The sequence below is a fragment of the Homo sapiens genome, chromosome 1 (assembly GCF_000001405.40).
Source record: "Homo sapiens chromosome 1, GRCh38.p14 Primary Assembly".
Taxonomy (NCBI): domain Eukaryota; kingdom Metazoa; phylum Chordata; class Mammalia; order Primates; family Hominidae; genus Homo; species Homo sapiens.
Window position 1 is genome coordinate 121,359,712 of NC_000001.11, and position 22,968 is coordinate 121,382,679.

At 42.8% G+C, this 22,968-nt stretch overlaps 1 protein-coding gene and 1 long non-coding RNA gene across 3 annotated transcripts in view, besides 1 other annotated feature; one reads left to right on the top strand and one right to left on the bottom strand.

Annotated features, from left to right (window-relative positions):
- SRGAP2C (SLIT-ROBO Rho GTPase activating protein 2C) overlaps positions 1-22,968 on the top strand; it is a 207,900-nt gene that overhangs the window by 174,737 nt on the left and 10,195 nt on the right. For both annotated transcript variants that reach the window (NM_001329984.2, NM_001271872.3), the window contains exons 5-7: positions 5,582-5,644; positions 14,260-14,475; positions 15,115-15,243. In NM_001329984.2, the coding sequence (NP_001316913.1) occupies positions 5,582-5,644; positions 14,260-14,475; positions 15,115-15,243 (408 nt within the window). The remainder of the gene's footprint in view (positions 1-5,581; positions 5,645-14,259; positions 14,476-15,114; positions 15,244-22,968) is intronic.
- The window catches only part of SRGAP2-AS1 (SRGAP2 antisense RNA 1), a 37,750-nt gene continuing 15,226 nt past the window's right edge, over positions 445-22,968 (bottom strand). The window contains exons 3-4 of the long non-coding RNA NR_104189.1: positions 3,041-3,177; positions 445-2,482 (exon numbers count right to left, since the gene is read on the bottom strand). This is a non-coding gene — a long non-coding RNA (SRGAP2 antisense RNA 1). The remainder of the gene's footprint in view (positions 2,483-3,040; positions 3,178-22,968) is intronic.
- Positions 2,064-2,909: an enhancer, noted in NCBI's record as "OCT4-NANOG hESC enhancer chr1:121103636-121104481 (GRCh37/hg19 assembly coordinates)". NCBI's record gives its function as "activates a minimal SCP1, AML or CMV promoter by ChIP-STARR-seq in naive H9 embryonic stem cells {active_cell/tissue: H9 hESC(naive)}" and the evidence as "EXISTENCE:reporter gene assay evidence [ECO:0000049][PMID:30033119]".

Consider the following 22,968-nt stretch of genomic DNA (forward strand, 5'->3'; position numbering starts at 1 on the left):
CTGCAGTGAGCTATGGTCAGGCCACTGCATTCTAGCCTGGGCAATAGAGCAAGACCTTGTATCTAAAAAGAAAGAAAGAAAAGAAAAAAAGAAGATAAAAGAATAGGAAATATCATAGTGGACAGCACATAAGTAGAGGTGAAGCCAGCTGGACTTCCTCAGTGGAGTGGGGACTTGGAGAACTTTTCTGTCTAGCTAGAGGATTGTAAATGCACCAATCAGCACTCTGTAAAAATGCACCAATCAGCGCTCTGTGTCTAGCTAAAGGATTGTAAATGCACCAATCAGCACTCTGTAAAAATGCACCAATCAGTGCTCTGTGTCTAGCTAAAGGATTGTAAATGCACCAATCAGCACTCTTAAGAGCTGTAACACTCACCGCGAAGGTCCACAGCTTCATTCTTGAAGTCAGTGAGACCAAGAACCCACCAGAAGGAACCAACTCCGGACACATAAGTACTTTTATTATAGACACCTATTATGCTGTATTGCAATAAAAAATGTATTTTTTGAACATCCTAGTCTACCTATCTTCAGAAGGCAAAAGCACCTCTGGTGTCCCTGTTGTGGTATCTCCTAGCCTACCTCTCTATAAAAGTTTTGCAATTAAGTATATTTGTGTTTTATACATCCTTGGGCTTCTCATAGTTTAAGGTCCTAACTGGAGTTCAGTCTTTCTCAGAGCCGTCTCATGGTATCCTCACCGATGAATGAATGCTGAATAGAAAGAGCCCTGCTTGCATATATGCAGGTAGTATGGTGGAGGGGAAATCTAGAAGTCATTTCTGAGCTCTGACCTGCTGGATCATCACCCCCTGAACCCCCAGAGCCTCGGCATACAGCCTCACACTGTACCACCTATTTTGGTGGCCCAAGTTAGCTGAGAGAGAGGACCAGACACAGTGCCCACCATCACCTAGCACTGGCCCTGCTACCAAACAGTCATTCCTTTTAGCCCTCTCCTCCCCACCAAAAGCATTTCAGGCAAAGTGCCAGCTCCTGAAATGTGGCCTCTTTGAAGTGGTTAGTGAATGCCCCTGAAACCACCACCTTATGTATGGTGGTGCTTCTGCTGCCAGAGCTTAATACAGGGTCATGTTCCTTTCCTCTGAAATCTGTAACATAAATTCAGTTTTAAACTGGATTTTTTTTTAACAGTTGGTCTCTGAACAATCTTTAGGGTGGGGAGGGGATAGTAGTGGTTGTTGGGGAGATATGTGCCCTTGAAAACTGGATTCTTTTTTGGAAAACTGCTGACACAGGCTAAATGGCAGAGAACTAAATGGCCCTACTGTTCCTACCTGCTGACAGGCTCAGCCTTGGGATGGGGCTGAAATGAGCTCTCGCCACATGGCAGAGACATGCCTTCCTCTTTTTATTCTTCTTTCTTACAAATAGGGGGTACTTTTGTGCCTGTCAAAAAATACAGCTTTGAAATGTAGATAACCAATTAACAACAGTCCCACCCCCAACTTGGAAAGCACATGAGTGCTGATCTAAATAACTAGAGAATCGGTAACAAGTAACCTCCCTATTGAGAACAGGTCTGAAACCTCTTTCATAATTGGTGTTCTTTGGGAAACACTAATAGACAAACCCATCCAAGCTCAGGAAATGTACTGATTTAAAGAGGTCTAAGGAAGAGTGACCAGACCAGTGGCCAGGCATCCCGGATGCCTAGGATCCTTATGTTTCCGTACATATCTGCTGTTACATCCTTTCTGTGAGCAAGGAGGCTTTGGAACATTACAGTCTTGTCTTGGGGAGATGAGATGACACAGTGCATTTCAGTTCTGTTTCCAATGCTGTTATCTGTTGGAAAAAGGAAGCTTTCCTACCCATTTTGTCAGCATACAACTGGTAGAAGCTGTTGCAATCTCATTGTCTTCTGATCAGCCCCTCGGCAGCAGTCAGAGTGGAGGCCAGTGAAGCACTCTGGCCAAATGGTTGTGGTGAGTTTCAAAATAAGAGATCCCAGCCTGAGCACACCATCACACTTCCCATCCGATAGAACCAGAATTGTTAACTGTACCACATCTCTATTCTAAATTTAGGCATCTTTTTTTTTTTCCAGGCAAAGATTACTATGCAAACATTTAAGAGAAAAACTTTGTCCAAAGTAATTTTTTCCCCCAACTTCTATTTGGTTTCCTGCAATGTTGAGATGACTCATTCTCTTCCAAGAAATTTTAAAGAAAAGAGATGCAGGCTGTATGTTAGTACACAAAGACTGCTCTGTAAATTCTTTTTCTTCCCTGTCTAGAAACCCCTTGCCTTTTTATAGAGAACGGAAAAGCTCTACAGTCTTCATTGTCATGTACTCGGCCTCATCAGGTTTTGTTGTTCCCAGGAATAAATGTCCCCCTTGTCTTTGGGTGGGGCCCCCTTGTGGCTTACCAGCTCTGTCAACCCCACTGCAGTGGCCAGCACGGAAGCCCTTCCTGGGGCCACGCTTTCCCCCAAAGGCACACAGTTAAGGTTTCTGAAACAGAGAACGAATGGCCTTTTATCATCTGTGAAAGGAGAGACACTGGCAATTTCCTGCCTCTGGCCTAGTGTCAGAATTTCTCCTGATTGCTAGAGGCTGTATTGCACATTTTAAGTGGGCTCGCTACACATGTATTCCCAGCCCAACCCTCAGCCAGAGGGAGCAGTAAGTCAGATCACTTCAGCAGCCTGTTCAAATAAACAGGGATAATAGTTGAGTGGTCCTCCCAACTAATCAGTACGTGAAAGGAAACATCTGCCTGGGCTTAATTGCTGTTTTTTTTGGTTACACTTTTCCCTCCTCTTCTTCCCCCATCCCCCACTCTGGGGCTAGGTTATTTAAGTCATGGGTAAGCAACAGGGTAGAGGAATAGGAGCTTTCTCCTTTAACCTCTGCCATTCAAACATAAGGAGGAGTTAAGAAACGATAGGCTGGCAGGAGGAGATGGCCCAGAGGCAGGAGGGCAGGGCGGTGGGAAGTGATACTCATGGTCACTTCCTGACCCTGTTGCTGACTCTGGGGCTCAGAGTGAGTCATGTTGCCTCACTTCACCTCCTTGGGCCTCTGTTGCTTCAGTGGAGCTCAGCTTTCCTCTCAATGGAAAGGACAGGCTGGTATGTGAGATCACAGATGAAAGGCATTCCCTCTTGTGGCTTCTTCCAGCAGTTGAGGTCATTGGATGAGAGACCCTGGAATGATAAATTTAAGACTGGCAAGATCCCCTGAACCCGTCCATTTTGTAGAGCATCTGGGTCCCCGAGGAGAACTTGCTCATTATCTTCTAGCCAACCAGCCATACACTAAAGGGAGGGATGTTTGAAGCTAATATGGACTCTAGAAGCCAGGCAGAAGATCATGTAGAATCATAGAATGGCAGAGGTTGGAAAAGACTTTAGAAATGTTTTAGCAGAAGCTTTTCATTTTATAGAAGGGAAAACAGAGGGCCAGAGAGGTTAACCAGGTTGTCCAGAGTTACCTCTTTGGTAATGCAGGAGCCAGGAATAGAAAGAGAATCTTGTGATTGCTAATTTAGGGCTCCTTCCACCCCTTTCCCCACTATCAGATGTAAAAATTCATGCTTACTCATGACAGAGGCCACACATAGGTTATATTCCATAATGAATACCTTAATAGAAAAATGGGCAGAGAACACCTTAATAAGAAAATGGCAGATTATAAAAGAAAAATGAAAATGACTGATAAACATTTTTAAAAATGCTCAGGCTCATTAGAATCAAAGGATTGCAAATTACAATAGGATACCACATCAAATTGTCAAGACAAAAAAATGTGAAATAAACATTCATATATGCTATTGGTGGTATTTTAAATTGGTACCGTTTTTCTCAAAGGCATTTTAGTGGTATAAATGGTAGTCTTTGACCCAGCAATGTTATTTCTAGGAAAAAATAATGAAAGGTGTGTGCATTAGATCATATACAAAGTAATGTGATATGGCATTTTTTATCACAAAAATTTAGAAGTGAAGTAAATGTCCAAGAATGGGAGCTACATCAATAGAACATATTATAATGCTATAGAACAATAATACATGTGGAAATGTTTACAACATATGTTTAAGTGAATAAGTTACAAAACAGGATTTATAATGCAATCCCAATTTTGTAAAACTAGAAAAGATTAGAAAAATACATAACAACACTTAGAGTGGTGATTTCTTAGTGGTAGGAATTTAAGAGTTACTTTTGTTTTCTTTTTTGAGGTTTTCTAGTTTCCTTATTATAATAAATATACATTACTTTTGTAATCAGAAAAAAAAGTATTTTTTAAGTAGAGATGTATGTACCTTGAAAAAAAGCAAGATCTTAAATGATTGTGTATCTGACATGAAAGTCCTTCCTTTTTTTGCCTGGGAGCTAGCAGCTATGGTGGGAGGGATGGGAAACAGTATTATAACTTCTGTTAGGATGGCATTTTGATACCCGAATTTCTGGTAGGAAAGATCTAGAAGGAGCTGGCAAAAGATAAAACAAGGGCTTTCCCTCTCAATGACCCATGCTGCCAATCAGTTTTAGCTCTCTTAGGTTTGGCATACAACACTTAGTATAGAAGGTGTGACAATTTCCTTCCTGCTTCCTCCTTTCTTTCCTTTTCTTTTCTTTTCTTTTTTTTGAGACAGAGTCTCACTCTTGTCACCCAGGCTGGAGTGCAATGGTGCAATCTCGGCTCACTGCAACCTCCACCTTCTGGGTTCAAGCAATTCTCCTGCCTCAGCCTCCTGAGTAGCTGGGACTACAGGCGTGTGCCATCAGGCCCGGCTAATTTTTGTATTTTTAGTAGAGATGGGGTTTCACTATGTTGGCCATGCTGGTCTCGAATTCCTGACCTCAGCTGATCCACCCACCTCGGCCTCTCAAAGTGCTGGGATTACAGGTGTGAGCCACCGTGCCCAGCCCTCATTCTTTATTTCTACTGCTCTATGTAGTTAGATGTCAGCCCTGGGTGGCAGCAGCAAAGAACCCAGGAGCCATCACTGCTCAAGATTAACTAGTTGGAGACCCCTTAACATATATTTTCAGCATCTAGTAACAGCTAATCTCGCAGGCAGTCAATATTGAGATACCGCTGCCTTGTGAGTTTTGGGTAGAAATAAAGCAAGTAAGAAATATAGTTCCATCCTGCTTGGAGTTTTCTATTTAGTTAGGGACTTTGAAGTCCCTGAATGTTTATATACTTTTTCCTATTTCATCCCATTACACATCTTACTTTCCTTTGAAATCTTCTGGAATGCTTGACTGCAAGTATCTGAGAAACCATGTTCCACCTAACAACAGTTGCTAGGTAGGATGTGGCTTTCAGGCCTGCTCTTTGGGGACCAATAGAAAAACCAAAGGCTACCACCCTTTTTCCCTCTACGCAATTGCCTTTGCTAGGCACATTTCATTTTATTAAAACTCTTTGAGTAATCTGACCATAATTGGGTCTGATTGGAGTGGTTATCTGATTTGCTGGGTTAAATAATGGGCCTTAATTGAGTCTGGGTTATTTGTAGAGCCAGTGTGGCTTTTGCCTTCGTTGCTCCCTCCTCTCTCTTCTGTTTCCCAATTAACCTTCATTCCTCTTTCCTTGCAGAGTAAAGAAGTCGGCCAGCAGCTCCAAGATGATTTGATGAAGGTCCTGAACGAGCTCTACTCGGTAAATCAGATGGGTTGCTTGGCTCTTTAACAAGCAGAGGGAAGCAGCATTTGGCAGCTTGCAGCCATAGTACATCAGCAACAGAACTGAACTGAGGTTGAAGGACAAGTGCATGGTCCCCACTGGGGGTGACCCCACCCATCTCTTTTTTCACACTCGTCTTTTCAAAACGGAATGAGTCAAAAAATACTTCCTCAAAATAAGTTTTCTCCTCAGCTATGCAAGCTCACCCTGGCTTTATTTGGGGCATAGTTACTAGAGACCAGCCAAAGTCTAGGTCATTGGCACAATGGACCCCGTTAGCAGCAAACCAGGGACCCTGAACTAATGGCAAGGAACGTAGCCTGCATTGCACTATTAATATGTGCCTGTCGGAAAGGCTTTATTGTTCTAGGTTTTTCATCAGATCTTGGATTGATGTATGGCTTTGAGACTAGAACAAATGCTCTGGAGGGCAGCACAGAGTCCTAAATGCCCCCAGTAAGAGGGACCAGTTTGAGCAGAGAGAGCTTTGCACTGGCTTCCTGGAGTTTTATAAAGCCAAACCTCAGTGACGAGGCAGGCTGCGGGCTTGAAGAAGAGAACACAATCTGTTCTGAGATGACTGGCGCTTCAGGCACATGATGCCTGTGGCTGGTGCGTGTTAATTCATGCGCAGAGAGGTGGTGGTGGTGGTTGTTCCCCAGCCATGTTTTTCTAATTATAATGAAAACAAACACACACTCACACACATACACACCAAGGAAATTCCTGTTGTTATACAGGGAATACTTAAGTTATACAGCTAATGCCTTTCAGGGGCCCCTTCTCCAGCTTGGATGTGCCAGCCTACTATGTCATTCTCCAGGGTTTCTCCATCCTGTTTGAAGGTGATACTGATTTCTGATGTTTACTTGCTTATTTGCTGCGTTTTTTCTTTTCTTTTCTTCCTTTGTTTTTTTTTTTAATTCACAGAACAGGCAGTGATGACATGCATGACAGGCATTTGGGATCAGATGTTGCTGATCCAGAAGCCTAGGTGTGGCCATTTTGTCATGGCAACTGTTAAGCAAGTAAATAGGGTAGAGTAGTCATCTGACTTATCTCCAGCGATGTTCAGTTTGTTTTGAATTTCTACTCTGTGACACTTCTGCTCTGAAGCCAAGCATAGATAGATGGTACCTTTCGTTCAACTCCCAAGTTTTCATTTCTCTCAAATGAAGTTAAGAGGTTTTTAAAATAGAAACACATCGATGTGAGCCATTTTCAGACTGGATGGGTTTCCTGAACCTTGTCTTTTTAATGCTTTACTTCTGCTCTTTTAGATCAATTTCTAAGTGCCAAGAAGAGCTATTACTCCTTTCTCCTAGCAGAGAATTCCCTAAGATAGAAAATGACACATGTAGTCATTGTATAAATTCTTTTATTTTCCTGTAAGCATCTTGACCCTCTACTATTTGCAGCTGTTTCTGGGGAGGGGTAGTTTGGATAACCAACAAACCTTGCCACTTCTTCAGTGGGACTCAAGGCAGCAGAAGAAGACTACTGTCTAAGGATCTGTTAGCTTTTACCCAGGGTCCTATGTCTCTTCATATGCTGTGCTTTAAAAAAAAAAATAAGTGAAAGGGCGTAAGCTGTGTTTGAGTGAGGAAGAAAACCTTGGAACTTATTTCTCTGGTCTGCAGAGGGCCGAGCTGCTACCTCTGACTGCAGACTTAAGACAGCCCAATATTGGCCAACTACTTTACTGGCCATTGTGAGGCCATGGTCAACATACAGCATAACATCTTCCCATTGATGTTCAAACTGAGAATTGCCTGAGTGTGGTATCCCCTGCCATAAGGTGAGCTGGAATACACCTTCATAATCTGTTAAAGGCCAAAATTAAAATGTGATGTTTTCCTCTAGTAGGCAATGGAAAGAGGGAAAAAAGAGTAGAGGCACTAGGAAGTTTCAGAGAAGTCAAAACATTCTGGTCCAAATGGAGTTTTAAGCAGAGGGAGTTTTACCCCGAGAGGACATTTGGCAATGCCTGAAGACATTTTTGATTGTCACGACTGGAGGAGTAGAAGGTGCTGCTGACATCTAATGATCTAGAGGCCAGGGGTGCTGCTAAAATCCTACAGTGCACAGGGCAGCTCCCACAACAAAGAATTATCTGACCCACAATGTCAATATAGAGACATTGACAATCTTCTGACCCACAAGATTGAGAAATGCTGGTCTAGTGACTAGAGTCTCCTGAATTAAGCAGCCTAGATTCTACCCTGTCTTGACTACTAGCTGTATGAGCTTGAGGGATACCCCAAACCTCTATGACCTTGGTGTCTGCATACACTCCATGCACTGGTATTTCTATATCCTAGGGGGTGGAGTAGTTGGGTGAGTTATACTTCCTGAAATATTAGGCTATAGCTAAGGATCAAATAGGTTTCCAGAGTCTGTAGGCCATTAGAAAGTTCAGTGAGCCAGGCTCATGCCTGTAATCCCAGCACTTTGGGAGGCTGAGGCAGGCAGATCACGAGGTCAGGAGATCGAGACCATCCTGGCTAACACGGTGAAACTCTGTCTCTACTAAAAATACAAAAAAAATTAGCTGGGCATGGTGGCGGGTGCCTGTCGTCCCAGCTACTGGGGAGGCTGAGGCAGGAGAATGGCGTGAACCTGGGAGGCAGAGCTTGCAGTGAGCCGAGATTGTGCCACTGCACTCCAGCCTGGGCAACAGAGCGAGACTCTGTCTCAAAAAAAAAAAAAAGAAAAAGGAAAAAAAGAGAAAGTTCAGAGAATAGCCGGTCACAGTGGCTCATGCCCGTAATCCCAGCACTTTGGGAGGCTGAGGTGGGCGGATCATGAGGTCAGGAGATCGAGACCATCCTGGCTGACACGGTGAAAACCCATCTCTACTAAAAATATATTAAAAACTAGCCGGGCATGGTGGTGGGCGCCTATAGTCCCAGCTACTCAGGAGGCTGAGGCAGGAGAATGGCATGAACCCAGGAGGCAGAGCTTGCAGTGAGCCAAGATCGTGCCACTGCACTCCAGCCTGGGGGACAGAGCAAGACTCTGTCTCAAAAAAAAAAAAAAAATAGCAGTTCAGAGAATAGAATTATTTCTTCTGGAGATTAAGATAGGTTTAGGACTGGTCTGAATAAGGCACCATGGGATTACGGTGACTAACTGTCCCTCTTTGCCTAGTACTGAAGAGTTTCCTGGGACATGAAATTGTCAGTGCTGAAACTGGAAAAGTTCGAGGTTAAAAAGGGTTAATTGGTCACCTTGCATGGGAGAGTGGTTTTATCAGGTGGGAAGCTGGGACTGTTACATGCTAGCTTTGGGAAGCTGCTTGCTGTATGCACACCTTTGAGGAGTCAAGAAGAGAACAAGGGAGAGTTTCTTAGAAGGAGCTTTCCCATTATTTGCTTGTCAGGAAGGCAGGGAAGGGCCTCTCATTTCAATGACGTTGTAGGCAATAGAAGTTATTTGGGGTCACTGGAAAAAGGAAACCAAGGATATAAGAAACCCACCCAGTTTTTTCATGTCCTTCACATCTGCTCCTAATGCCCATGAATACCTTTTTTTAGGGGACTAGTTATCCAAGGGTTGGTAATTTTAGTACCTTTGAACCTTGATGATCCAAGGAGCAGGACCCAGGTGTTCCCAAATAAAGATGCCTTTGGGCACCGGGCCCAGAATGCCGCCATGAGTGGCCAGCTGCCCCTCTGCACCTTCCTCTTTTCTGCCTGAAGGGCCTTTGATTTCCCTGACTTGGCATTCTGTGCTGGGGCCTGCTTCCCACAGCTGCTATTCAGAGAGCAATCCTAGCGAGCATTCTTCTCCACGTGTTTTCCCCCCATAATGAGCTGGCTTGTATGTAAGCCATGGCATAAGTGGTTTTCATTTTCTGACTGATGCACCGGGAATGCCTTTGAAGTCAGAACACACTGCTTCCCAAAGAACTCTGGGATTCTTTGCCTCAGTTGTACTCAGAGGTCGTGTCTGGAAAAACCCAGCAAACCCCCACAGGAAGGAGTGTACATGGAGGCACTGAAGCCAGTGTGGATTGGCTGAGTATGAAGAGTCAAGGAAGCTCTAGAATTGAGAAAAAAGAGGCTTTGGGACACTTTGGGGCTGTTGTTATTCCAGAGGCCTTATGCTTCTGTACTCCCCCTAAGTTTACATCCCCTTGGCTTGGAGCAGCGGCTGTGTGCTGGCAGAGCTACTTCAGACTGGTATTTAGCACCTGTTCCCTTGAAACAATGGCACTTAATAGTCCCTCAACTCTGCTTGCCTATTTGACTCTGGCACTAGGCACTAGGGAGACAAGAACAAATAAGAGATGTTTCTGACCTCAAGGCGTTTAGTTTTAATAGGGAGAGACAGAAAAGTAAAGCATCAAGTGAAAAATGAAGTGACAAGAACTCATTTACATGTCTGCACAGAGGACAGGGATGAAGTCAGGCTCCTTGAAGAGATACTTGAATTGAATCTTTATTGCCAAGAACTCTTTTCTTGTTCTCTACATGTTCCCTTTTTTGTTGCATCCAACTTTTGTTTCATGATGCAGTATCGTTTTATTTCTCATTTATCTCTCCAGGGCTATTATGGATATATTGTTTTCAAACTTTTCTTCTTGTTGTATAATATTTCTTCTAAATTGCTAGTTTTGGTCTTGGTCTTTCATATTAGACATTTCCTTTAAATGCGTGGTCATTCTTAGCTGCCTATTCACATTTTAAAGTGAGGCACTAAAAGATTCTATGTCAGCTGTGGCCTTCACAGTAGGGTGTTCTAACTGGGCTGTGTCCTTGTGGAAGCCCCAACTTTAGTATTTCTAGGTCTCTTATCTTGGATGGTCACATTGCCGAGAGATCACACTTTTGATCTCCCACTCATGTCTGGGAGCTGAGTTGTGAAGAGGCCTAGACCATCTCAAAATTTAACATAGACTTCAGCTAATCCTCCTGTTGAAGTTCAGTATACCCCTATCCTCAGCTGAACCTTGTATCCCCTAGTCCATGGACCCTCTCTAACAGAATAAACCTCTCATCTAGTCTTCCACTACAATGGGAGAGGGGATCTTGGGGCCTCACTGTTCTCAGACTTCCTTTTTTTTTTTTTTTTTTTTGAGATGGAGTCTCGCTCTGTTGCCCAGGCTGGAGTGCAGTGGCGTGATCTCGGCTCACTGCAAGCTCCACCTCCCAGGTTCATGCCATTCTCCTGCCTCAGCCTCCCGAGTAGCTGGGACTACAGGCACCCGCCACCACGCCCAGTTAATTTATTTTTGTATTTTTAGTAGAGACGGGGTTTCATTGTGTTAACCAGGATGGTCTCAATCTCCTGACCTCGTAATCCGCCCACCTGGGCCTCCCAAAGTGCTGGGATTACAGGCATGAGCCACCATGCCCGGCCTGTTCTCAGACTTTCAATAGCTTATTTTGTGTTTAGCTCTACCTTCATCCCACTGCTACTTATTTCTCTTCGGGCTTCTGTGATATAAATCTGGCTGCTTCCTGGCTCACTCTAGTTTTGGTTTAGGACTCAAGTAGATGAGTTACTGCTTGCCTACCTGCTTTTCGGCTTCAGCTTCCATTCTTTTTGTTTTTCTCAATTTATACCTAAATGATAATCATTTTAGAACCTTTTTTTTCCTATTATTTTAGTGTGGCTGTCAGAGGGAGCAGAGCTAAATATGTGATTTCAGTGTTTAGTTTTTCAAAGTAAAGTGGAATATTCTTTGCAGAACTGAGAATTTAGACTTTTCAGTTTTTCCCCATAGTTTGCATTTGCCTATCTATATATAGATAGAAGTATGTATATGTATATCTTTATGTATACATATCTATATATACATATATGAGTAGCTATATGTCTAAGACATAGATATATAGATATACATATATTTACATATGTATATGTACATAGATATATATATCTAAGTCCTATCTTGGCTTTCTCTAAGTCCTATCTTGACTATAAATATATATTTATAAATATATATTTAACATGTATATCTGTATCTATATACATTTCTAAGTCCTGTCTTGACTTTCCTATTTTTTCAATTGTTTTGGCATCACTTATTTAAGCTTCAGCTTCTAGGTACCTCAGTTTTCTCTTGAGCTGGAAGGCACTAATAAAGCTTCTCCAGTATTTACCCAGAAGAGAGATTCAGTGTCATTCAGTCATTTGGGCAACCACTTTGTAAAACTACCATTGTGTATATGACATATTTCTCCACTGTGAGAAGAAAACACAAAAGAAGTAGAGCTTAGCGTGAAGAATGTATAGTTTCTTAGGCAAAGTAGCGTTTTACTCTCTTTTAACAAGAAAGTTCTTTAAGTTTTTTAGGGGAAAGTAACATTGTAAATTGTTGATTTTTGTTACTTCATTTGTTGACTTGGTAGCGCTATTCTTTGACCTCTTTTTTATCTCATGTTTATTCATAACGTTTTCTCTTTATCATGCACCTTCATGAAATAGGAAATCACTTTAAAAAAGAAAAAAAGCACTCACTTTTGTAACTTCTCACTAAGCTTTTGAATCCCATGGTCAGATTCAGGTGAAAAAAGAGAAAAAAAAGAGGAGCCTCCTATCTACACTTCTTCAGCTGAGATAACAGATGCCTCTTTTCCACTTCTTAGTTAACCTGGAAAGCTGGGGGTCTGTTTGAATTACTTAGAAAGGCTTTTAAACACCATTAGTTGTTAAGTATTTTTTCTTCTGTATAGAAAATATGAAGAGTATTATCCTGGTAAAATTTACGGGAAGTAGTGTTAGGTTCAGAATGAGGTGAAACTGATTTAAAACATTCTGCATTCAAAATGAGACATAATTTAGACTCTAATGTACTTTGATTTTGTCAGTGTCCCAGTATTCTTTATTCTTTCGTCTGCCTCTAGCTGATCGTAGGGCCTAGATTAGTATACCCACAAAGTCTTTCTAAGCTAGATTTTCTCAACGTCAGCACCATTGACATTTGGGCCAGATAATTAATTGTTGTGGGGGCTGTCCTGTGCATGGGATGTTCAGCAGCATCCCTGACCTCTAACTACTAGATGCCAGTAGCAATCCCCAAGTTGTGACAATCAAAAATATTTCCAGACACTGCCACATTTCCCCTGGGGGCCAAAATAGCCCCAGGTTGAGACACTTCTCTAACTCAGGTTCATACATGGAACCAGTTTCTCTTTTCAGGAATATCTTGACCATATTTAACCTTTCCTCCCAACCAGTTCAGCTCCAGTCCTATCCAGAGGAGAGTCGGTGTTGCTTAATGGCTAAGAATGTGGTCTTTGGAGTCTGACAGACCTGGGTTTGAATCCTGATTCCACCATTTACTCATTGTATGACCTTGGGTATGATAGTTAATCTCTCTGAGCCTTATTTCCTTATCTTTAGAAATAGAAATAATAACAGTGTCTTTCACAGAGTTATTGTAAGAATTAAATGAGGTAATGTACGTAAAGCCCATGGTACACAATGTTTATTAAGTGGTAGATATTAATAATATTGTACCTTTGCACTCCTGTGTTACACACACACATGCACACACACACACACACACACACACATGCACACACACACCCAACTTCTACTCTCTAATTATCCCTCTCAAAGAAATCTTATGGCATCACACTTTCAGCACTCGTGAACTCCCTGTGTGGAAACAGAAAGTTCCCACAGAGTAGAGCAGGCACTAGGTGGCTGGAAGTAGTATGTTTAGTAGGATTGGAAACAAGCTTGAGTTCTAGGCTTCCTGGCTTCCCTGTTAAGAGAAAGGATTGGACTCCTAGATGGTTGCTTTGATGGAAAATCATCCTTCACCTTTTATACTACTTCCCTCCTGTGGCAATTCCAGTTATACTTGATATGGATTTTATTCCTTCCCAGACTCTTACCTGAATTGTTTTGAAGGCTTACAGTCTTCATAGGGTTGTTGTCTAGATTGTGGAATTGTCCTAAGGATGAAATGAGAAAATGTGTTGTGTGGTACTTGGCATAAAGCCAGGAATATACTAAGTGCTCAGTAAATGATAACTGGCATTGCAATTGCTGCTGCTGCTTTAGTTGCTGTGAGAGGGTGTTTGATCTGGATAAAGCAGAACAGACAGATCCCCAGAATGCCAGGCCGGTAAAAGGAGCTTTTGGAAGCTTTTCCTCTTCCCTATTTTATATCTGAAAGGTAACAGAAAGCATAGGCTACTCCATAGGCTGCACTGCCCTCTTCGGGGTTCCTGACCAGCCCAGAAAGGCTTTGCCCTTGGGGCCTGAGAGTGGTGGTGTTGTTTCCCATCTACTCAGTATTATGAGGTGACTAAGTGATAGAAATCACCTGGCCAATATTAAAGAGAAATGATTACAAATGATAATGAATAGAAATAAATAATACATGATGGATAGACATTAAGTTATTTCAATAAGAGGAAATGTTGGCTCAGTTCACATATTGCTTTCCTGTGCTTTGGAGTGGTCTTTAATCTGTGTTTGCTGAACCAAACACTTCTGGATTTTTCCCTTAGGGGTGTGAGGATATTGCTTCATGGGGGAGAGCTCCAGCTGAGTCTGTTAGTCTGTAAAGCAGAGAAATGACCCCCTTGGCTTGACCTCTGGGGGTGGGGGTGGGCGATGTCTTGCAGGTCATGAAGACATATCACATGTACAATGCCGACAGCATCAGTGCTCAGAGCAAACTAAAGGAGGCGGAGAAGCAGGAGGAGAAGCAAATTGGTAAATCGGTAAAGCAGGAGGACCGGCAGACCCCATGCTCCCCTGACTCCACGGCCAACGTTCGCATTGAGGAGAAACATGTCCGGAGGAGCTCAGTGAAGAAGATTGAGAAGATGAAGGAGAAGGTATGTAGGCTCCCACAGCTGTAGATGCTGGGAAGCAACATTCGGTAAGGCATGGCTGATAGGAATTTCCCAATAGTCACTGGGAAGAGCAGACGAGGAAGCTCTGGGTTCTTTTAGTGCCTAATGACTGAAAATGAGGCCTTGCTCTGTGCCCTGGCAGGAATACTAGGTATTGGAAGAACTGGGCACGTGGGATCCAAGATTCTAGCCTCTAGCAGAAAACCAAGAAACAGCAGTCACCTTTCCCAATCCATTTTCCAAATAGAGCTCAATATCCTATTGCTTTGGAGGGGTTGGGGGTGACTGTAAACCTAGGATTTGGTTTCAGGTATCAGGTGTTCAGGGGCAAGAGTAGTGGTACCTCCTTCAGAGTGGCATTGCAAGAATGAAGAATGATATTTGAAGATAGAATCAAAGCGGGGCACGCATCTTAAGTAGGGAGCCTCATTAACCTTTCCTGAATTGATCTACATTGTGCCCTTGAATCTCATTAAACAGAATTAGAACCCAATTTAAGGCAGATGCGCATAGGGAGTAGCAACACAATTGTAGTTCTTGAATACACTGTACTTTTATCTTTTAGAGAACAAGCCCCCCTTTAAAAAAAAAGGTAAAAGTGAACTTCTGTTTCCTTTTCAGCACCAAGCCAAGTACACGGAGAATAAGCTGAAGGCCATCAAAGCCCAGAATGAGTACTTGCTGGCTTTGGAGGCAACCAATGCATCTGTCTTCAAGTACTACATCCATGACCTATCTGACCTTATTGATGTAAGTGCTTAAAGCCAAGGGCCTGAGGGCCCCTCTTTTCTGGTTTCAGAATACTCGTCAGACATTCCCGATACTATTGTTCAGGAATCTGGTGCATTTTGAGAACAATTAGGAAGATAGCAGCCATGATCCATCAGAGTGCTTGCCAAGCACCATGTGAAACACTTCACACTTATTCAATCCTAACTGGAATTCTGGGAGGAAGGCATTATTATCTATATTTTTACAGATTAACAGAGAGTTTAGATGACTTAGTCAGAGTCAGTTAACAAATGACAGAGGCAAAATTTGCACCTAGGCCTGATGACTCAACCCAGGCTCATAACCACTACACTCGTCTATCTGCCAGGAAATACTTTCTTCCTTTTTTTTTTTTTTTTTTTTTTTGAGATAGAGTCTTGCTTTGTCCCCCAGGCTGGAGTGCAGTGGTGCAATCTTGGCTCACTGCAACCTCCATCTCCCAGGTTCAAGCAATTGTCCTACCTCAGCCTCCCCAGTAACTGGGACTACAGGCATGCATTACCATGCCCAGCTAATTTTTGTATTTTTAGTAGAGATGGGGTTTCACCATGTTAGTGAAGCTGATCTGGAACTCCTCACCTCAGGTGACCTGACCTCAGGTGATCCACCTGCCTCGACTTCCCAAAGTGCTAGGATTACAGGTGTGAGCCACTGCACCCGACCTAGGAAATACTTTATTACATCAGCTTCTCTTGCACAGAAGTGAGTGGCAAGAACTTAACTAAAGAGTTACAATGCCATCCCTTATATTTGTATAGCATTTAAGGTTTCTCGGTGTTAACTCATTTAACTCTCACATCACCATTATGGGTAAGCATTGCTGTCTCCAGTTGCTAGATAAGGAAGCTCAAGGTCCAGAGGACTACGAGACTCACTTGTCCAAGGTTATGCTGCAAATTAGGGTCCTGTCAGGAAGGTATCCAGCTCCCCCTGACATCTGGCCCATTTTTAAAAATATGTGATGCAAAGGGGATTGAGGAAAGCGGTTAATAGGCACATGTGTTTTGCAAGGGGCAAGCGCAGAGATAAGCTTTTTGTTTTTTGCCTGTGAGTTATTCTTGGCCTTGTTTTTCCTGCTGCTTCCCCTTACAGTTGGGTCTTACAAGCCCTCTCACCTACAGACTGCAATCTGGCCCAGGTCCTGAGCCACACCTAAGTGAAGCTATGTAATTACACCCTTTCTCACCTCTCCTTCCAGTCATCAAAGTGAGGCATCTGGAGCCAGCCAATTTAGCATCCCAGTCTCTGGGGCTTCAAGTGTATCTCATCTCGGAGGCCTGCCATTTGTTTCAGGGTCTTGTTGGCAGCAGTTGGGCTTTGCAAAACTCTGGCCCGACCACTCTTGCTTTCCTGCCTTGGTTTCTCCACAAGCAAACCTGCCACACCTCACAACATCATATGGGATTTGGGTCCGAGTCTTGCTGTTATATCACCACCTGGGTCATCTAGGCTTGTCACTGAATTGTTCTGGAACCCAGCTTTGTTTCTCACCCACTCCCAAGCTCCTCTAGCTAACTGAAGAACTGGACTAATTCCCTGGTATTAAAATCTGGCCTCACGTAAGAGTTGCTTGGGGAACTTCTCTAAAATACAGATTCCTGTCTCCCTTTAGCCGAGGATTTTTGATTCAGTAGATTTCAGCCACTTAATGCCCTAGGTGTCATTGTCTCACTGGGTTAGTAGAGCCTTGCTCCCTGTTCTGGTACCTCTTTGTTCTCTCTGCTTGTTGATGACAATCTGAACACTGTCCTTCAATGGAGGTCAAAGCCCTAAACAAGATCCTTTCTCCTCCTCAGGGGAAGAGCTCCTCATTGTTGGGAGAGAGGCCTGTTCTCAGCATAAGGAAGAGAATCCATTCTTTCTTATGCACAATTTCTGCTATTTATCTCGCATTTGGTAAAAATTCAGACTGTGCTGTCTGCCACACCGCTGCTATTGGTTAGCCCTCTTCTCTTTTTTTGTACTCAAGGCAACTTCCCTACCTTTTTCACCGAAATACTGATCTCAGGGGAAGGGAGGGGTTACTGCTGTATCAGCCACAACCTTTGCAATCCATAGATTCTCCATCAGGTATAACCAAGTGTTTTAAAATCAGTCCAAGAAGCGAGGTATTTTGTACCTTATTTTCATCATTTAAAAAAAAAAAAACGTCTGCTAAGAGCCTAATTTCACAGGATGTGGTGTGACATGCCATTGAAAAAGAGGCTGCCTTAGTACTTGGCAGGGTGTGGGTCTAGATCACTGGGATCAAAAGGCTACATAGGTAGTAATAAAGTTTCTCATGTTTCTTTTTTTTTTTTTTTTTTTTTTTGAGAAGGAGTCTCTCTCTGTCGCCCAGGCTGGAGTACGGTGGTGCGATCTCGGCTCACTGCAAGCTCCACCTCCCAGGTTCACGCCATTCTCCTGCCTCAGCCTCCCGAGTAGCTGGGACTACAGGCACCCGCCACCACGCCCAGCTAATTTTTTGTATTTTTTTAGTAGAGACGGGTTTTCACTGTGTTAGCCAGGATGGTCTCGATCTCCTGACCTCGTGATCCGCCTGCCTCAGCCTCGTTTCTTTGCTGCTGTTTTGGTTGTGTCTTGTTTTAGTTTGTTGGTTGGTTGGGTTTTTGTTGTTTTTCCTGGGATATGGACACATTCATTATTTTTTTTAAAGTTGTATTATTCTGCTCTATAAATGTTCAGTAAATATTTATTTAGGGAGAAGCCACGTGCTCAGTATTGGGGTAAAAATGGATTATAGTAGTTCTCACCCTAGAGGTAGTCATAGGCTGTAAGACAACATTTTTCAAACCATTGGTCAGATCCCTTAAGAAAGTCAGGAAATCACTTTTATTGGTTTAACCTGTGTTTTCAGATGACTAGATGAGACTAGAATAAGAAAGAAAATATTAGAGTACATCACATTGGTAAGATTATGTGAAACTTTTATGTTAGATATGTATGTACACACTTGTACATCCTATGGGGAAGTGTGTGACAATAGAAGATGTGTTTCTTATTGTGAGTTGGGAGTCAAAAAAGTGTTAGTGAGCCATTGTACTATGAACAGAGGAAGATCTCAGTCTCATCTGTTAAGTTCTGTGAGAGCAGGAACCAAGAGTTTTCTTTACCTTAGTAGCCTCCAGTGCTTAATATATAGCTGAGCACATAGTGTGTTTACTGAAGGAAGAAAGGAATAGAAAGAGGAGGAAGATGATCATCTAAGCTAAGATCGGTTTTTCTTTTTGTACCTTTCAATATGGTTTTGAAGTATAATTTACATACAGTAACTAAACTTAAGTGTTACAGTTTCAAGAGTTTTGACAAATTTGTACATCTTTGTAATCTATGTCAAGATATAGAAAAAATATTTTGATAAGAGATATCTTTCCATTGCCTCAGAAAGTTTCTCTTGTCTCTTCCCAGCCAATCCCCCACCCCAAGGCAACCACTGTTATGATTTCTTTCACCATAAATTAGTTTTGCCCATTGTAGAACTTCACAAAGATGGGATTATCCTTTTTTGTGTCTGGCATCTTTTGCCAACATGATGTTTTTGAATTTCATCCATGTTGTTTGCATGTATCGGTAGTGTCTTTCTTTTTCTTGCTGACCTATGAGATAAAAAGGGCCAAAAGGATGCAGTTAGAGCAGGACTAAGTGAGGAGCCTGGGATATTGGCATCCTGATCTTAACATTATTCATTACTTGCTTTAAGACACGGGATGAATCCTGTTGCAGTCCATTGCCATCTGTGTCATGTACAGCCTTCTGCCTCCTTCCTAGTGGTTCTGAAGCCAAATGTGTGCATAAGGCATTGAGGATAAGTGAAAAGAAGTTATTTTTGTTGATGCCATTACATTGACCAAGGACTAGCCTCCGACTTCTTTTTATAGTATAGTACAAGATTTAAACTTCAGACTGTAGGAATCCACGTGAGGCATCTGCCACACTGGGGAAACCTTGACTTCAGGCCAAAAAGACGTTCTGAGCTCATTTGATGGCATCTAAGAATGGTAGGCTCACTGGAATGTAATTTTCCTCCCCCATACTCTTCTGGCTCTCTCAACCCAGGAGCAGATGGATGAATGAAGAACAGGGCATTGTCCTCATGCATAGCTGGAGTGTTGTAAGTGCCGTGTACATGTATGGAAGGTCTTTGACACCATGTGCACCCAAGTCGGACATGAGGGAACTTGGCTGTTTCAGTAAGAAATGTCATTAAGGACAGTTATTTTTCTCTTTTGTGTGAACCTGAACTGTGAAACACCCATTTTTCCTTTCCAGGCCTTGTGGAGTCTCTGGGTGAAGATATCAGCTGGGAAAGGGTTAATGAGCTATCAACTCAAGTCATCATACATCTGGATGGGCTGTCATTAACTTCTTACAAAAATTTGATTTCCCCTGAGAGATTTTTCATCAAACATTTATATAACCCAGAAATGGCCAGGGGAGTCCAGCGTGGCCACAGAACTCATCAGAAGCCATGGAAAGCCTGCTTTGTCCCCACTGTGAGCAAAATAATGTGCTTCCTGTACTTATTGGGATTCTTCTTGGAACAGGATGAAATATTCAAATCTCATTTACCCAACCTTGCCAGATATTGCTTCTTCGCTGAAGGCTCGGTTTCTGACTGTTTCCCCTACAGGTATATAGATAGTCAAGACTCTGGAGAACCTCTTCCGAATCTGCCTGGTTGGCTAGAGGTGTAGAGGAGCCAGGGGCACATTGTGACTCAGACCCTCACTCATTGGCACAAAGAAGCTACAGAATAGTTATATAAACAGAGGCAGTGCGCCAGCCTGGGAAAACTCCCAGCCTCCCTTTGGCCATAGAGTAAGCAAAACAAATGGCTTCACTGGCCCCATCTACCCACTTGACTTAGGTCAGTATTCAGCCTAAATGTTTTATTTCCTGAGAGGCTGGAATCTGTATTTGTGGTATCAATCAGTCAACTGAAATTTATTAAATGCCTGCTGTGAGCAAGGCCTAATGCTGAGGGATGTAAAGAAGAGTGAGAAGCTAGTCTGGTTGGGGTGATATGACATGGCAAGTCATAGAATGAAGAAGCGTATTCCTTGTCATATGAAAGCTGCAGATTAGTGTGGTTCTAAGTAGAGGCCAGGGTCACTGGAGTCTAGGATTGCAGGGTTGGCTGGCTTCCCAGAGGCTAAGAATTTAATTTGGATCTTGAAGATCTGGTCCAATTCCAACAGGTGAGAGGCATAGGAAACATTTAAGGAAAAGGACATTCTGGGAGCTGAAGGGCAGAGGTCAGTGGATTTGGAGCTATATTAGTATTTTTTAAAAGTGTCTACATGGTACCAAATATCTGTAAATATATTGCCTGTTAGCCTACAACAACCTGTGTGGCTGGTGTTATCCTCATTTGAGGCCCAGAAGGATTAAGTAGCTTGCTTATGGCCATATAGCTGATTTGAAGACTAATACTCTACCCTAAACAGAGAGTATCTCATTGGATTAGAGCAGATGAATCTGAAGAAGAAAATAAAGGGAGTTGATGTTGGATGGGTAGATTGAAGACAGATTACAGTTTGTTCTGGCTATTGAACCTTGCTCAAATTGTTTAACTTCACTGAACCTCAGCTTTCAAGCCTGGAAAATTAAGATTATACCAACCTCATTGGGGTTATTATGAGGATTAAAATGTAGAATGTATATAAAGCACTTAGCACATGGACTGACGTATAGTAAGCATACTTAGTGAAATAGAAGCATTTTTTAAATTTCAAAACTGAGGAAGGTGGATTTTACCTTGGGGAAAAAAAATGAGAGGTATTTTAGGTTCTTCAACAGGAAAGTGCCATAATTAAAGTCACAGTTTAGGACAGTGATGCTGACGGTGAGGGTATGAATAGGGGTAGAGGTAGTAAGAATGGAGAGGAAAGGGAAATTACCAAAAACAGGTAAAAGTTTTTTGAAGGGTAACTTTTCTCTCCCAGATTCTACCCCCTGCCCACACCCCCTCCACCCACACTCATACACTCTGTGGGCCGTGTTACTTCTGTTCATTAGACTTATAGGCATAGAGCTCATCAACAGGGTCTACATAGAGCTAGTCAGGAAGGTTTACAGGTTCAAGGGCAGCCTGGTGAGACCAGCAGCATCTCCCAGAGAGCCCATGCCCGTGCAGCGTCCTAATGAGCCACTTTTGTCTAGCTTCCATTTGCTCTTCCCTCCCAACTGAATTTAATGTCTTTCCATCCTCTGCCTCTAGTTAAGTTGTAACTGCTGTTATTCCACTGCAGCCAGGCAGCTGCCAGGGCCTGTTGGCACTGAACCCAGAGCCCAACCCAACTGATGTTCTCACTGAGCTTCTTGTCAGATGCCAGGAAAGAGGAGGCACATCATATGCCTTTTCTTCCCCAATAGTAGCTGCTTCCAATGTGATCATGATGAGAGGAAAAGGCTGTGGGGAGAGTTAATTTGATGCTTGCTTGTGCAATGAAATGGCAATCAGGCAGATGGCCTTACTCTATGCATAGATTCTTCTTTGAGGTTTCTTCTCAGGACCCGGACCTCAGAGCTGCTTAAGCAATAGAGAGGATGATGGATGGCCAAGGAATTGGGATCTCTGGGTCTTTTGGGAGGGATGGGGAATATTATCACAGAGTTACAGAATGCCATTGCTGAAGAGGGCCTTAGGGATTACATTTAGTCCAAGGATTTTCAGACTTTTCTCTAACAGAAGAATTCTTTCTTCAAACCAAACCTTACATAGAATCCCTAAATATTAAATAGAAAAAAGAGCAGGGTTGGCTTGGTTGAAGGAGGAATAGAAGACTCCAAGTCCTAGTAGTTGGGCTGTCCTTTTACTCACTTCTCAAGGGCAGCTTCAGTGCCAGCTCTGGTCTACTGCTTGAAAGCCACTAGCCTGGCCAAATCTGTTCATTTTACTATGGAAGAAACAGGTCCAGAGAAGGGGAGTGGCTTTTCCAAGGTTGCTTGATTCTGCGCCAGTGCTTTTTTTATACAGTTGCCTCTTTTTGCATTTTGTTGTAAAAAATCAGAATCCTTTACATGGCATGAATTTTTCCAGTAACACTTTTGCGTAGAGCTTTTTAGTCTTATAAATGCTATTTCTGTAGTGCAGGGCCATCTGTTGTCAGATGCCAGGAAGGAGGAGGCATGTCAGAAACCCTAGTCTGCAGCTAAGGCCTGTCCTAGGATGTTGGGCATTGGTGGGGATGATGACCCACAGAGTCAGCTCCCCATTCTCTCCTTCTCCCATCTAGAGTTGAGCTTGCATACATTAGCTGCTGTTGCAATACTCCTGCTTTCAGAACCCTGAAATGGCCTGGCTTGGTTGCTATATAGTGATTTAACCACAGTAACCCTCAGTGAGTGGCAGGTTGTATTTTTATTGTTGAATTTTGTTATAATGACAACCCCAGATAAACCTGAAAATGAAAGAGGATTCTCTTTAACTCTCAATTCTTCTCATGTTTATGAAATAGCGCTTAATTAAATAATGTCATTTTATCCTTATGAGTCTTCTTCCTCCTAACCACCTCACAGCCCTCTAGGGTGTGTTTAACCGTTGAATTGGGAGTCAAGAACTGAGAACTCTCACCCAGACCTTGGAAGTCGGAATGTCAGCCGTCTTTCTACTGCACAGCCAAGCCTATTGATGTGGTCAGATCTGCCCTCTGGACCACCTTCCTTTTCTGCCAAGCCTTGGGGCTGTCCATGGTGTGCTCA